This window comes from Homo sapiens, chromosome 3 (assembly GCF_000001405.40).
Source record: "Homo sapiens chromosome 3, GRCh38.p14 Primary Assembly".
Taxonomy (NCBI): domain Eukaryota; kingdom Metazoa; phylum Chordata; class Mammalia; order Primates; family Hominidae; genus Homo; species Homo sapiens.
In genome coordinates this window covers 61,492,971-61,508,424 of record NC_000003.12, presented here as the reverse complement: position 1 = coordinate 61,508,424, position 15,454 = coordinate 61,492,971, and the positions used below count along the sequence as shown (strand labels likewise).

The 15,454-nt window shown below is 39.2% G+C and overlaps 2 annotated features.

Annotated features, from left to right (window-relative positions):
* Positions 2,370–2,870: an enhancer, noted in NCBI's record as "H3K27ac hESC enhancer chr3:61491229-61491729 (GRCh37/hg19 assembly coordinates)". NCBI's record gives its function as "activates a minimal SCP1, AML or CMV promoter by ChIP-STARR-seq in primed H9 embryonic stem cells {active_cell/tissue: H9 hESC(primed)}" and the evidence as "EXISTENCE:reporter gene assay evidence [ECO:0000049][PMID:30033119]".
* Positions 2,871–3,371: an enhancer, noted in NCBI's record as "H3K27ac hESC enhancer chr3:61490728-61491228 (GRCh37/hg19 assembly coordinates)". NCBI's record gives its function as "activates a minimal SCP1, AML or CMV promoter by ChIP-STARR-seq in primed H9 embryonic stem cells {active_cell/tissue: H9 hESC(primed)}" and the evidence as "EXISTENCE:reporter gene assay evidence [ECO:0000049][PMID:30033119]".

The following is a 15,454-nucleotide window of genomic DNA, read 5'->3' as shown; positions in this document are numbered from 1 at the left end:
AACAACAAAAAAAAAGAATCAGTGAACTTGAGAACAGAACAATAGAATTCACTCAATCTGAACATATAGAAGAAAAAGGCACTTCAGGGGCCTGAAGAAAGTAATATGACAATCCAGCATTTGTATCACCAGAGTCTCAGAAGGAGAGAAGAAAGAGAGTGGGGCTGAAAGAATGTTTGAAGAGATTTGACTGCAAACTCCCTAAATTTGGCAGAAGACACAATCTTACACATCCAAGAAGCCGAGCAAATCCCAAGCATGAGAAACCCAAGGAAGTCCATGCCAAGACACATGATAATTAAACTTGCAAACTAAAGATACAGAATAAAAATCTTGAAAGCAGCCAGAGAGACACAATGCATTATGTATAGGGGACACCAATTCAAACAACAGCAAATTTTTCATCTGAAACCAAGGGGGCCAAAGGAAGTATCACATTATTTCTAAAGTGTTGAAAGAAAACAACTGTCAACCATAAATTCTATATCTGGTGGAACTATTGTTCAGGAATAAAGAGAAAAAAGAAAACAGTGGCAGACAAGAAAAACTAAAAAACTTTGTGGCTGGTAGAGCTACCATTAAAGATTGGCTAAAGGAATTTCTTAAAACAGGAAGGAAATAATAAAAAATAAATCTTGGAGCATCAGGAATGAAAAGGGAAGAACAGAAAAAGCAGAAACATAAATATATACCGTAGGCTATCTTTTTCCTCAGCAGTTTAATAAATCATATTCAATGATTGAAATAAAAATTATAACACCATTTGATGCTAGAGGCAATGATATTTAAAAGCGGAGAAAGTAAAGGGACCTAAATGGAATTGGGATTCTATACTTAGAAAGGTAAAATGGGCCGGGCGCGGTGGCTCACGCCTGTAATTCCAGCACTTTGGGAGGCCGAGGCGGGTGGATCACCTGGGGTCAGGAGTTTGAGACCAGCCTGGCCAACATGGTGAAACCCCGTCTCTACTAAAAATAACAAAAATTAGCTGGGCATGGTGGCAGGCGCCTGTAATCCTAGCGACTCGGGAGGCTGAGGCAGGAGAATCGCTTGAACCCAGGAGGCGGAGGTTGCAGTTGGCCGATATCGTGCCATTGTGCTCCAGCCTGGGCAACAAGAGCAAAACTCCGTCTCAAAAAAAAAAAAAAAAAAGTAAAAGTAAAATGATACTGGTACGTGTTATGACACATGTGTATATTAAAATACCCAGAGTAACACTATACAAAGATATGTAAACAACGTGGGGGTTAGAGGCACCAATCCCCTGGCAGTCAAAAATCCATGTAAAACTTTTGACTTGCCCAGAGCTTAACTACTAATAGCCTCCTGTTGACTGGAAGCATTACTGATAACATAAACAGTTGATTAACATATATTTTGTATATTATATGTATTGTATATTGTATTCTTTTAATCAAGCTAGAAAAATGAAAATGTTATTAAAAATCATAAGGAAGATAAAATATATTTACTATTTATTAAGTGAAAGTGGATCATCATAAAGGTCTTCATCCTTATCATCTTCACATTGAGCAGGTTGAGGAGGCAGAAGAGTTGGTCTTGCTGTCTCAGGGATGGCAGAGGCAGAAGAAAATCTGCTGTCTTGGTCTCTTCATTGTTGCGGTAAAGGAATACCTGAGGCTGGGTAACTTATATAGAAAAAAAGGTTTATTGGGCTCACAATTCTGATGGCTGTAATGTTTAAGATTGTTCATCTGCATCTGGTGAGGGCTTCAGGCTACTTCCACTCATGACAGAAAGTGAAAGGGAATTGGCTGTACAGAGATCACATAGTGAGGTAGGAAGCAAGAAAGAGTGGAGAGGTGCCACGCTCTTTTAAACAACCAGCTCTCAGAGGAACTAACAGAGTGAGAACTCATTACTCCTAAGGGAGGGCATTAATTTATTCATGAGGGACCTGTCCCCACTACCCAACAGCTCCCATTAGTCCCACCTCCAACATTGGAAATCAAATTTCAACATGAGGTTTAGAATAGACAAACATCACAACCATAGCATCTGCATATAAGTAGACCCACACGGTTCAAACCTGTGTTTAATATAGTTGTCAACTATATTTTTGAAAAACGCTATAAATAAGTCAGGATGGAATTCTAAAAAATGTTCAAGTAATGCACAGGAAGTCAAAACAGAAACAGTAAAGTGAGATCTAGAGGAAAAAAAAACAACTCAGGCCAAGATGGCCAACTAGAAGCAGTTACAGTGTGTGGCTCTCACGAAGAGGAACAAAAGGGGTTAGCAAATACAGCACCTTCAACTGAAACATCCAGGTACTCTCACTGGGACTAATCAAGGAAACAACTCAACCCAGGAGAATGAAGAAAAGCAAGACAGGACAATGGCTCACCCAGGAGCAGCAACACGGAGCCAGGGGAACCTCCCCAAACCAGGGAAGCGGTGAGTGAATGTGCGGCCCTCGGAAATCATGCTTCTCCCATGGATCTTTGCAACCCTCATCAGGAGATCCCCTCGTGAACCCATTCCACTAGGGCCTTCAGTCTGACACACATAGCTGCATGGAGCCTCAGCAGAGCAGCTGCTCAGGCACATGTGGAGGCCCAGGAGCTTTACATACTCTGGCTCCAGGCTTCCCAGCAAAAGTGACTGCAACTCCAGCAAGGTGGGAGGTTGGACCTCTGTACATACTCGTAGGAAGGGGGCTGAATCCAGGGGGCCGAGCAGCAACGGAATGAGGGCCCCACTTCCATGGTGCCTCACAGGATAAGACCCAATGGCTTGGAATTCCAGCCAACCACCAGCAACAGTGTTGTCCCTACCTGGAATGGAGTTCCCATGGGGAAGGGTGAGCTGCCATCTTTGCTGTTTGGACGACTCAGCTGTTCTAGCCTGAGGGCTTTGGAGAGTCTAAACTGACTGGGGGCATACAGGATGCCCCAGCACAGCACAGCTGCTCTACCAAAACATAGCCAGACTGCTTCTTTAAGCTGGTTCCTGATCCATTCCTCCTCACTGGGCAGGGCTTCCCAACCAGGCCCTCTGGCTACCCCTGCCGGTGTTCTCCAGCAGACAGAGATTTGCATTCTCCCCGGGACAGAATTCTTGGTGGGAGGGGTGGGCTGCCATTTTGCTGCTGGGTGACTTAGCTGTTCCAGCTTCCATGCTTTTTTTGGAGAGCCTAAGCTAACCAGAGGCAGAGGCAGTACCCCCGCACAGCACAGCCACTCTACAAAAGCATGGCCAGACGGCTTCTTTAAGCCGGTCTCCTGTCTCATTCCTCCTGACTGGTTGAGATCTCCCGACTGGGGTCCTTCACCACCTCCTACAGATGGGTTTGTGCTGGCAACAGGTCCATACCTCCCTGGGACAGAGCTCACAGAGGAAGGGGGCAAGTTGTCATCTTTGCTGCATTGCGGTCTTCACTGGTGATACGTCTAGATACTGGAAAATCTGAGGTGATTAAGGACTGGAACCGAACCCCAGCAAACTGCAGCAGCCCTACAGAAAAGCGGCCAGACTATTAAAAGAAAAAAAAAAAACACCCATTCAAAGGTCAGCAACATCAAAGATTGAAGGTAGGTAAGTCCACAAAGATGAGAAAGAATCAGAGTAAGAATGCTGAAAACTAAAAAAGCCAGAGTGCTCTCTTTCCTCCAAATGACTGTATCACCTCTCTAGCAAGGGATCGGAACTGGGCTGAGGCTGAGATGGCTGAAATGACAGAAATAGAATTCAGAATATGGATAAAAATGAACTTCACTGAGCTAGAAAAATATGTTGTAACCAATGCAAGGAAGCTAAAAATCACGATAAAACATTGCAGGAGCTACCAGACAAAATAGCCAATATAGAGAGGAACATAATGAACCCAATAGAGCTGAAAAACACAATACAAGAATTTCATAATGCAATCTCAAGTATTAATACAAGAATAAACCAAGCAGAGGAAAGAATCTCAGAGTTTAAAGACAGGTTTTCTTGGCTCGGTGTGGTGGCTCATGCCTGTAATCCCAGCATTTTGGGAGGCCAAGGCGGGCAGATCACTTGAGGTCAGGAGTTTGAGACCAGCCTGGCCAACATGGTGAAACCTCGTCTCTACAAAAAATACAAAAACTAGCCAAACATGTTGGTGGGTGCCTGTAATCCCAGCTACTTGGGAGGCTGAAGCAGGAGAATCTCTTGAACCCGGGAGACAGAGGTTTCAGTGAGCCAAGATTGTGCCACTGTACTCCAGCCTGGGCGACAGACTGGGGCTCAGTCTCAGAAAAAAAAAAAAAAAAAAGGTAGTTTTTCTGAAATAAGACAGGCAGACAAGAATAGAGGTAAAAGAATGAAAAGAAATGAATAAAACCTCCAAGAAATATGGGATTATGTGAAGAGACCAAATCCATGACTAATTGGTATACCTGAAAGAGATGGGGAGAATGGAACTAATTTGGCAAATGTATTTCAGGATACCATTCATGAAAACTTCCCCAACCTCACTAGAAAGGCAAACATTCAAGTTCAGGAAAGGCAGAAAACGCCAGCAAGGTACTCAGTGAGAAGATCAACCCTGAGACACATAATCATCAGATTCTCCAAGGTTGAAATAAAAGAAAAATGTTAAGGGCAGCAAGAGAAAAAGGCCTGGTCACCTACAAAGGGAAGCCCAACAGACTAACAGTGGACGTCTCAGTGGAATCCCTATGAGCCAGAAGAGATTGAGGGCCAGTATTCAGCATTCTTAAAGGAAAGAAATTCCAACCCAGAATTTCATATCTGGTCAAACTAAGCTTCATAGACAAAGGAGAAATGAGATCCTTTTCAGACAAGCAAATGTTGAGAAAATTCATTACCAGCAGACCTGCCTTACAAGACTTCTGAAGGCAGCACTAATTATGGAAAGGAAAGATTGTTACCAGCCACTACAAAAACAGATTGAAGTACACAGAGCAGTGACACTATAAAGCAACCACATAAACAAGTCTGCAAAATAACCAGCTAACATCATGATGGCAGGATCAAATCCACGAATATCAATACTAACCTTAAATGTAAATGGGCCAAATGCCCCAATTAAAAGACACAGAATGGCAAGCTGGATAAAGAACCAGGACCTGGCTGGGCACAGTGGCTCACGCCTATAATCCCAGCACTTTGAGAGGCCGAGACGTGCTGATCCCCTGAGGTCAGGAGTTTGAGACCAGCCTGGCCAACCAGGTGAAATCCTGTCTCTAGTAAAAATACAAAAAATTAGCTGGCCATGGTGGCATATGCCTGTAGTCCCACCTACTCGGGAGGCTGAGGCAAGATAATTGCTTAAAGCTGGGAGGTGGAGGTTGCAGTGAACTGAGATTGCGCCACTGCAATCCAGCCGGGGGACAGAGCAAGACTCCAACACACACACACACACACACACACACACACACAAAAGAACCAAGACCCATTGGTATGCTGTCTTCATGAGGCCCATCTCACATGTAATGACACACATAGGCTCAAAATAAAGGGATGGAGGAAAATTTACCAAGCAAATGGAAAACAGAAAAAAGCAGAGGTTGCAATCCTAGTTTCTGTTTGACCACTGTGCAATCAAATTAGAAATCAAGACTAAGAAATTCATCCAAAGCCACACGATTACATGGAAATTGCATAACCTGCTCCTGAATGACTTTTGGACAAATAACAAAATTAAGGCAGAAACTGAAAAGCTCTTTGAAATTAATGAGAACAAAGATACAACATACCAGAATCTCTGGGACACAGCTAAGGCAGTGTTAAGAGGAAAATTTATAGCACTAAATGTCCACATCAAAATGTTAGAAAGATCTCAAGTTAATAATCTAACATGACAACTAAAAGAACTAGAGAAACAAGAGCAAAGAAATCCCAAAACTAGCAGAAGACAAGAAATAAGCAAAATCAGAGCTGAACTAAAGTGGATTGAGACATAAAAAAAAAGCCATTCAAAAGATCAATGAATCCAGGAGCTCATTTTTTGAAAAAATTAATAAAATAGACCACTAGCTAGTCTAATAAAGAAGAAAAGGGAGAAGATTCAAATAAACACAATCAGAAATGATAAGGGGGGATTACTGATGCCATAGAAATATAAACAACCATCAGAGAATATTATAAACACCTCTATGCACATGAACTAGAAAATCTAGGGAAATTGATAAATTGTGGATACATACCCCTGCCCAAGAATGAACCAGGAAGAAATTAAATCCCTGAACAGACCAATAATGAGTTCTGACATTGAGACAGTAATAAATAGCCTACCAACCAAAAAAGCCCAGGACTAGGTGGATTTACAGCTGAACTCTACCAGATGTACAAAAAAAAGCTGGTACCATTCCTACTGAAACTATTCCAAAAAATTGAAAAGGAGAGACTTGTCCGTAACTCATTCTATGATGCCAGCATTATCCTGATACCAAAAACTGGCAGAGCTACAATAACAAAAAAAAAAAAAAAAAAAAAAAAGAAAAGGAAACTTCAGGCCAATATCCTTGATGAACATCAATGCAAAAATCCTCAACAAAATACTGGCAAACCAAATCCGACAGCACAACAAAAAGCTTATCTACCAGCTTCATCTCTGGGATGAAAAGTTGGTTCAACATATGCAAATCAATAAATTTGATTCATCACATAAACAGAACTAAAGACAAAAACCATATTATTATCTCAATAGATGGAGAAAATTATTTCAATAAAATTCAACATCGCTTCATGTTAAAAACTCTCAATCAGCTAGGTACTGAAGGACCATACCTCAAAATAATAACATCCATCTGTGACAAACTCACAGCCAACATCATACTGAATGGGTAAAACCTGGAAGCATTCCCCCTTGAAAACCAGCACAAGATAAGGATGCCCTCTTTCACCACTCCTATTCAACATAGTGTTGGAAGTTCTGGCCAGGGCAATCAGACAAGAGAAAGAAAGAAAGGGTATTCAAATAGAAGAGAGGAAGTCAAATTATGTTTGAAGATGACATGATCCTATACCTAGAAAACCCATTGTCTCAACCCGAAAGCCTCTTAAGCTGATGAGCAACTTCAGCAAAGTCTTAGGATACAAAATAAATGTGCAAAAATTGCTGGCATTCCTACCCACCAACAACAATCAAGCTGAGAGCCAAATCATGAATGAACTCCCGTTCACAATTGCCACAAAACAAATAAAATAACTAGAAGGACACCCAACCAGGGAGGTGAAAGATTTCTACAAGGAGAACTACAAATCACTGCTCAAAGAAATCAGAGATGATAGCAACAAATGGAAAAACATTCCATGTTCATGGATAGGAAAACTCAATATTGTTAAAATGGCCATATCGCCCAAAGCAATTTATAGGTCCCATTAATTGTATTTCCATTAAACTACCCTTGACATTCTTCACAGAACTAGAAATAAACTATTTTAAAATTCATATGGAACCAAAAAAGAGCCTGAATAGCCAAGAAAATCTTAAGCAAAAAGAACAAAGCTGGAGGTATTATACTACCTGACTTCAAACTATACTACAAGGCTACAGTAACCAAAACAACATGGTACTGGTACAAGAACAGACACATAGACCAATGGAACAGAATAGAGAACCCAGAAATAAGATTGTACATCTACAACTATCTGATCTTCAACGATCCTGAGAAAAACAAGCAATGGGGAAAGGATTCCCTTTTCAATAAATGGTACTGGGATAACTGACTAGCCAGGTGCAGGGGATTGAAACTGGACTCCTTCCTTACACCATATATAAAAATCTCTTTGAGATGGATTAAAGATATAAATATAAGACTCTGAACTATAAAAACCTGGAGACAACCTAGGCAATACCATTCAGGACACAGGCATAGGCAAAGGTTTCATGATGAAGATGCCAAAAGCAATTGCGACAAAAGCAAAAATTGACAAATGGGATCTAATTAAACTAAAGAGCTTCCGCACAGCAAAATAAACTACCAACAGAGTAAACAGACAATCTACAGAATGGGAGAAAATTTTTGCAATCTATGCATCTGACAAAGGTCTAATCTCCAGCATCTATAAGGAACTTAAACAAATTTACAAGAAACAAATGACCGCATTAAAAAGTGGCAAAGAACGTGAAGAGACACTTCCCAAAAGAAGACATATATGCGGCTAACAAGCATGTGAAAAAAAGCTTAACATCACTGATCATTAGAGAAATGCAAATCAAAACCACAGTGAGATATTATCTAACACCGGTCAGAATGGGTACTATTAAAAAGCCAAAAAAATAACAGATGCTGGCAAGGTTGTGGAGAAAAAGAAACGCTTATACACTGTTGGTGGGAATGTAAATTACTTCAGCCATTGTGGAAGACAGTGTGGTGATTCCCCCAAGACCTAAAGACAGAAATGCCATTCAACGCAGCAATTCCATTACTGGGTATATACCCAAAGGAACGAAATCATTTTGTTATAAAGACACATGCATGTATATGTTCACTGCAGCAGTATTTACAATAGCACAGATATGGAATCAACCTAAGTGCCCATCAATAATAGACTGAATAAAGAAAATGTGGTATGTATACCATGGAATACTATGTAGTCTTAAAAAAGAATGAGATCATGTCTTTTGCAGGGACACGGATGCAGCTGGAGGCCACTATCCTTAGCAAACTAACACAGGAACAGAAAACCAAATACTGCATATTCTCACTTGTAAGATGAGAACACATGGACACATAGAGGGGAACAACACACATTGGGGTCTTTAGAGGATGGAGGGTGGGAGGACAGAAAGGATCAGGAAAAGTAACCAATGGATACTAGGCTTAATTCCTGGGTGATGAAATAATCTGCACAATACTGCCCCATGACATACGTTTACCTATATAACAAACCTGCACATGTATCTGTGAACTTAACATTAAATAATTAAAACATAAAATGACAGATATATGTGAGAACATAACAATTACCTTAAATGTAAATGGTCTAAATACACTAATAAAAAGACAGATTGGTAGAGTGTATAAGAAAATGTGACCCAACTGTATGCTGCATTTAAGAAACTCAGTTTAGTCTAGGTATGGTGGCTTGGGCTTGTAATCTCAGCACTTTGGGAGGCCAAGGTTGGCAGACTGCTTGAACCCAGGAGGTCAAGATCAGCCTGGGCAACACAGCAAGACCCAGCCTCAAAAAAAGTTAATTAAATAAAAAAAAAAACTCAGTTGAAATCAACAACATAGGTAGATTGAAAGTAAAAGGATGGGAAAAGCTATACCATGCAAACAATCGGTAATAGTAGAAGTGTCTATATTAATATCTGATAAAGTAGGTTTCAGAAAAAGAAAATTACTAGAGACAAAGAGAGACATTACAGCATGAAAACAGAATGAATTCATCAGGAAGACATAATGGTCCTAAATGTGTATGAATCAAACAACAGAGCCTCAAATCACATGAAATAAAAATTGATGGAGCTGAAAGGAGAAATAGACAAATCCACGATTATGTCCCCTCCTCGCACATACTATACATGCTATTTAAACAACACAATCACCAACAAGGCCTAACTGACATACATAGAAAACAACCATCCATGGGACATTGGTCAAGATAGGCCATATCCTGGCTATAAAGCAAACCTCAACAAATGTAAAATAACTGAAATTATACAAAGTGTATTCTGTGATCTTAACGGAATCAAACTAGAAATCAATTATAGAAAAACAATAGGAAAATCTCTAAAATGTGGAAATTAACATACTTCTAAATAATCCATCAATCAAAAAGAAAGTCTCAAAGGAAATTTAAAAATACTTTAAACTCAATGAAAATGAAATCACAACTTATCAAAATTTGTGGAATGCAGCTTAAAGCAGGACTGAGAGGGAAATTTATAGCAGTAATGCTTATATTATAAATGAGGAAAGATCAAAACAGAGAAAAAGTGAAGTGAAATCTAGAGGAAACAAATTTTAAAAACCCAATAAAATGGCAGATTTATGTGACAAAAATTATCTTAAATGTAAGTGATCTAAATACACTAATAAAAAGACAGACTGGTAGAGTGTATAAGAAAATGTGACCCAATTGTACGCCACATATAAGAAACTCAGTTCAGATGGGTGCGTTTAAAATCAATGAACTACAGGCCAGGTATGGTTGCTTATGCCTTGTAATCCCAGCACTGTGGGAGACCGAGGCGGGCAGATCGCTTGAGGTTCGGGGTTGGAGAGCAGCCTGGCCAACATGGTGAAACCCCACCTTTACTAAAAATACAAAAATTAGCTGGGGGTGGTGGTGGGTGCCTGTAATCTCAGCTACTCGGGAGGCTGAGGCAGGAGAATCGCTTTAACCTGAAAGGTACAGATTGCAGTGAGCTGAGATCGTGCCACTGCACTCTAACCTGGGCAACAGAGCGATACTCCATCTCAAAAAAAAAAGAAAGGAAAGAAAAAATTAATAAACTACATTCCTACTTCAAGAAATTAGAAAAAGAGGAGCAAAATAAACTCAAAGCAAGCAGAAGAAATAAAATAACAAAGAAAAGAGCAGACATCAATGAAATAGAAAATAATAGAGAAAAATCAGTGAAAAGAAAACCTAATCCTTAAGAAAAAAATCAACAAAATGGACAAACCTCTGGTAAAACTTACCAAAATAAAAACAGTTGAGAAAGAAATCTCCAATGTCAGAAATGGAAAAGCTATCACTGTAGATCTTGTAGCCATTAAAAACATAGTAAGAGAATACTATTAACAATTTTATCATCATGCATTCAACAACTCAGAGGAAATGAACCAAATCCTCAAAAGCCGCAAACTACCAAAATTCAACCAATATGAAACAGACAATCTGAATAACCCTGTAGGTATTAAAGAAATTGAGTTCATAACTGAAAATCTCGTAAAATAAATCTTCAGGCCAAGATGGCATCATTGGAGAATTCTGTGAAACACTTGAAGAAAAATTAACCTCAATTTTATATAATGTATCCCAGAAAACAGAAGAGGAAATACTTCTCAACTTATTTTCTGAGGTTAATATTACCCTGATACCAAACTAGATAAAGATAATACAAAAAAAGACAACTGCACATCAATGTCTTGAATCCAGGAGGCAGAGGTTGCAGTGAGCCGAGATCGCACCACTGCACTCCAGCCTGGAAGACAGAACGAGACTCCGTCTCAAAAAAAAAAAAAAAAAATTAAATTAAATTTAAAAAATTGAGTTTTTATTGACAAAATAATTTCTTTTAACTTTTAAGTTCAAGAGTACGTGTGCTGGTTTGTTACATAGGTAAACTTGTGTCATGGGGGTTTGTCGTACAGATTATTTCATCACCCGAGAATTAAGCCTAGTATCCATTAGTTATTTTTCCTGATCCTCTCCTTCCTCCCACCCTCCGCTCTCTGAAAGGCCCCAGTGTGTGTTGTTTGTCTTTCCGTGTCCATGTGTTCTCATCATTTAGTTCCCACTTATAAGTGAGAACATGCAGTGTTTGTTTTTCTGTTCCAGTGTTAGTTTGCTAAGGATAGTGGCCTCTAGCTGCATCCATGTCCCTGCAAAAGAGATGATCTCATTCTTCTTTATGGCTGCATAGTATTCTATGGTGCATATGTATCACATTTTCTTTATCTAGTCTATCGTTGATGGGCACTTAGGTTGATTACATGTCTTTGCTATTGTGAATAGTGCTGCAATAAACACACATGTGCATGTGTCTTTATACTAAAATGATTTATATTCCTTTGGGTATATACCCAGAAATGGGATTGCTGGGTTGAATGGCATTTCTGTCTTTAGGTGTTGGAGGAATCACGACACTGTCTTCCACAACGGCTGAAGTAATTTACATTCCCACCAACAGTGTATAAGCGTTTCTTTTTCTCCACAACCTTGCCAGCATCTGTTATTTTTTGACTTTTTAATAGTAGCCATTTTGACTGGTGTTAGATGATATCTCATTGTGGTTTTGATTTGCATTTCTCTGATGATCAGTGATGTTGAGCTTTTTTTTCATATGCTTGTTGGCTGCATGTATTTCTTCTTTTGAAATGTGTTGACAAAACAGATTTTAAAATTACATGTAGATGCAAATAAACTGGAATTGCCAAAACAAAGAAGAATGAAGTTAGAGGCCTCAGTGTACATTGGATTGGAGCACATCTATTCTCTTTCTATTATTGTATTCATCATGCTTTACTGTAATTATTACTAAAGTAAGAGACCTGTCTTAAAACCATCTCTGTGTCCCTTAACACAATCACAAATGTTTTCAGTAAAATGTGTTGCATTAGTTTAAAAGTAAATACAATTTTGTATTCATATGATTTTTATTTGAGAGAAAAGGAAAGACTGGGCATCTCAATCACTGAGCAAGTGGGCAGGACTCTCTGGCAACAACATCAGAAATACAGCCATCTTTTTCTTTTTCCAAGAGCAAGATCCAGAATCTTGGGACTGTGGTTTCCATTTAACACGTGGGGAACATCCCTTGAGGTTATTCAGTGAGTTTGGTTTTACATCAAGGAATTACTTACAGTCTGGCTTCAGCCAATCCTGGATTTAATTATTCATGGCAATTATTGCTTGCCTATTAACATCTTTGTTTATATTGACTCTGATGATTCTAGTCTTTGATTGCATGTGGCTTCTCTACCTTTAACATCATGCATCACTCAGTTCTCCAAGGTGAGCTGAGGGCTTTCCCCTTTCAACATTTAAGGTAAACTCCTTAGTTGTGGACAACACCAGCCCATGGATTTTACATCTTGCCAATTCTTTAATACTTTATTCTTAATCCATAGCGTTGTGAACTTTAAAAAATAGCTCTGATAATTCCAAAAGACCATCCACTTTATCTTAACAGAAGTTTCACATTGGTATTGGTCCATGTTTGTTTATTTCCAACCATTATTCCTACCCAAAGTTGTTTATTTGTGATGAGATTTGGTCCAGTTTAGTGGCCGTTGAGATTATCCATCGTGGCTTTTGAAATCATCTGTTTTTTGACTGTTTATCTCCTGGAAACTTCACAGCAAACTACTGAAGTCATTCCAGCTGAAGCTGGTTTTCCCTTCCATTAGGTCATTAAGGACAGCATCAAATCAAGTATACAAAGAAGTTTTTCCATACAGAAAAAATTAAAGTGCTCCAATTCCGTTTTCTGGGTTTCTCATTCTCACATTTTCTGACCAAGAAGATTTAGATAGTGTCAAGGTGAGGCAAAACAAATAATCTGCTTAGATAAATATATTCAACACTGTCTTCTCTGAGGGTTGGTGTGGGTGACACAAACAAGGCATATGCATTGAATTATCAGACTTAATCTCACAGGTGTCATCTACAGGTGGATGCTGGAGTCTACATCCAACCAATCAGTGTTTGTTGGGCATCTAGAACATGCCACATTAACACTCTGAGGATTCCAAACATGAAAGAGATAAGGTTTCTAGACATAGGTATGCAAATCAGGCAAAGAAGTGTATAATAAAGAACAATGAAGAAGCATAAAGCAATGTTGTTGGAATTGAAGAGGGAAAAACCTTCCAATTGGCCAGACCCTAGGAGATTTCACGGCAGAACATGGTATTTGAGCTGAGCCTTGAAGTATGGATAACATTTCCATCAGGAAGGGAAGATATGCCACATGGATAAAACAGCACATGCAAAAACCTAGAAATTGCAAAGTCATAGGCTATGTGCATGGTCTTCTGGTCAGCTAAACTTCAATATTCCAGCTCCTTCCTTCCTAACAGTGAAGATATAGAAAGCAGTTGATAGGTTTGATCAAGAGCTAACTCTGAGCCAGGTGCAGTGGCTCATGCCTGTAATCCCAACAATTTGGGAGGCCAAGGCAGGCAGATCACTTTAGGGTCAGGAGTGCAAGGCCAGCCTGGCCAACTTGGTGAAACCCCATCTCTACTAAAAATAGAAAAATTAGCCGGGTGTGGTGGCACATGCCTGTAATCTCAGCTACTCAGAGGCCGAGGCATGAGAATCACTTGAACCTGGCAGGCAGAGGTTGCAGTGAGCCAAGATCCTGCCACCATACTCCAGCCTGGGTGACAGAGTGGGACTCTGTCTGGGGAGTGGGAGGATTAAAAAAAAAAAAAAAAGACTTAACCCTGGACAGAAGCCTTCTAGGGATTGCTCGTTTGCTGGAGTAGATACTCTTTCTCAAATAGTAGCTTACTCACTCAGGAGACTCCAATCCATATGTAAAGATATGAGTCCTATGCCCTTGCTCTGTTCAGGAGAAAAATGAGCCTCAGAGTAGTAATGTGACTTGTCCAAGCCAACTTGTAAGGTTGATGAAGACCTTGATCTCAAATTGAAGTCCCTGAAATTTCAGTTCAGTCATTATCCATACTAGGAAAAAGAACTGGATGGTAACATTAAATCATTTTACTCGAACTTGGAATGTGATTTTTATGTAGCCATTATACTATTTTCATGTAATTCAGAAAGTTAAGTTGACTTAATACATTTTGTTTGGTTTAAGCTGATATTAACATCAGTTTTCAAATTCTGAGCTTACTCTTCAGATATGACCATTAGGGTGGGGAAGAAATGCATCAGGAATGTACTGAGTGAAAAGTAGATGCAAACATTAATATGCAATATTTATGAATACTAACTACATGTAGGGTCTCAAGAGTTCACATACATCATCTCACTTAATGCTTGTAACAGCACTCAGAAATTGATACTATCATTTCTATTTTACACTTGAGGAAATTAATACAGTTAATTAACTTGACTAATTTCCCATAGCTAGTAAGTGGAAGAGCTAGGCAATCTGGCTCAACTACCTACCCTCAGCTGCTAGGCTAAGGACAATGGGGGTGAAAATGGTATGTCTCTCATAGAGTTGCTATGAGCATTTCATGAGTTAATACTTACGAAGTGCCTACTGCCACATCCGGTGCATCGTACTTACTCATAAATAATAAAACCTATGACTGGAAGATGAAGTTTCTTGCCTAGAGTTGTACATTGCTAGGCTGACTAAAGAGCACCATGCTGTTAACCCTTACAGTAATAATCATAATAATAATGTAATTTGTTGTTGCTTAATTTTGTTTCAGAAATCTTAACTTGTATATTTTCACAGGCCAGTAAAAGTAAAATTTGAATTCCATGTTATGCACGTACAAAACTAAAGTAAATATGGACGAGTTAATATTTTGACATCGTGACTTGAGCATTTGGAAATGATACATGCTCTACCCATGTTCATAGCAGCATTATTCACAATAGCCAAAAGGTAGAAGCAACCCAAATGTCCACTGGCAAGGGAAAAACAAAATGTGCTATATCCATACAATAGAATGTTATTCAGTGTTAAAAAGGAAATAAATCCTGACGCATGCTACAAAATGAGTGAACCCTGAAGACATCATGATAAGTGAAATCTGCCAGTCACAAAAGGACAAATGGTTTATAATTCCCTTTATTTTAGACACGTGGAGTAGTCAAATTCATAGAAACAGAA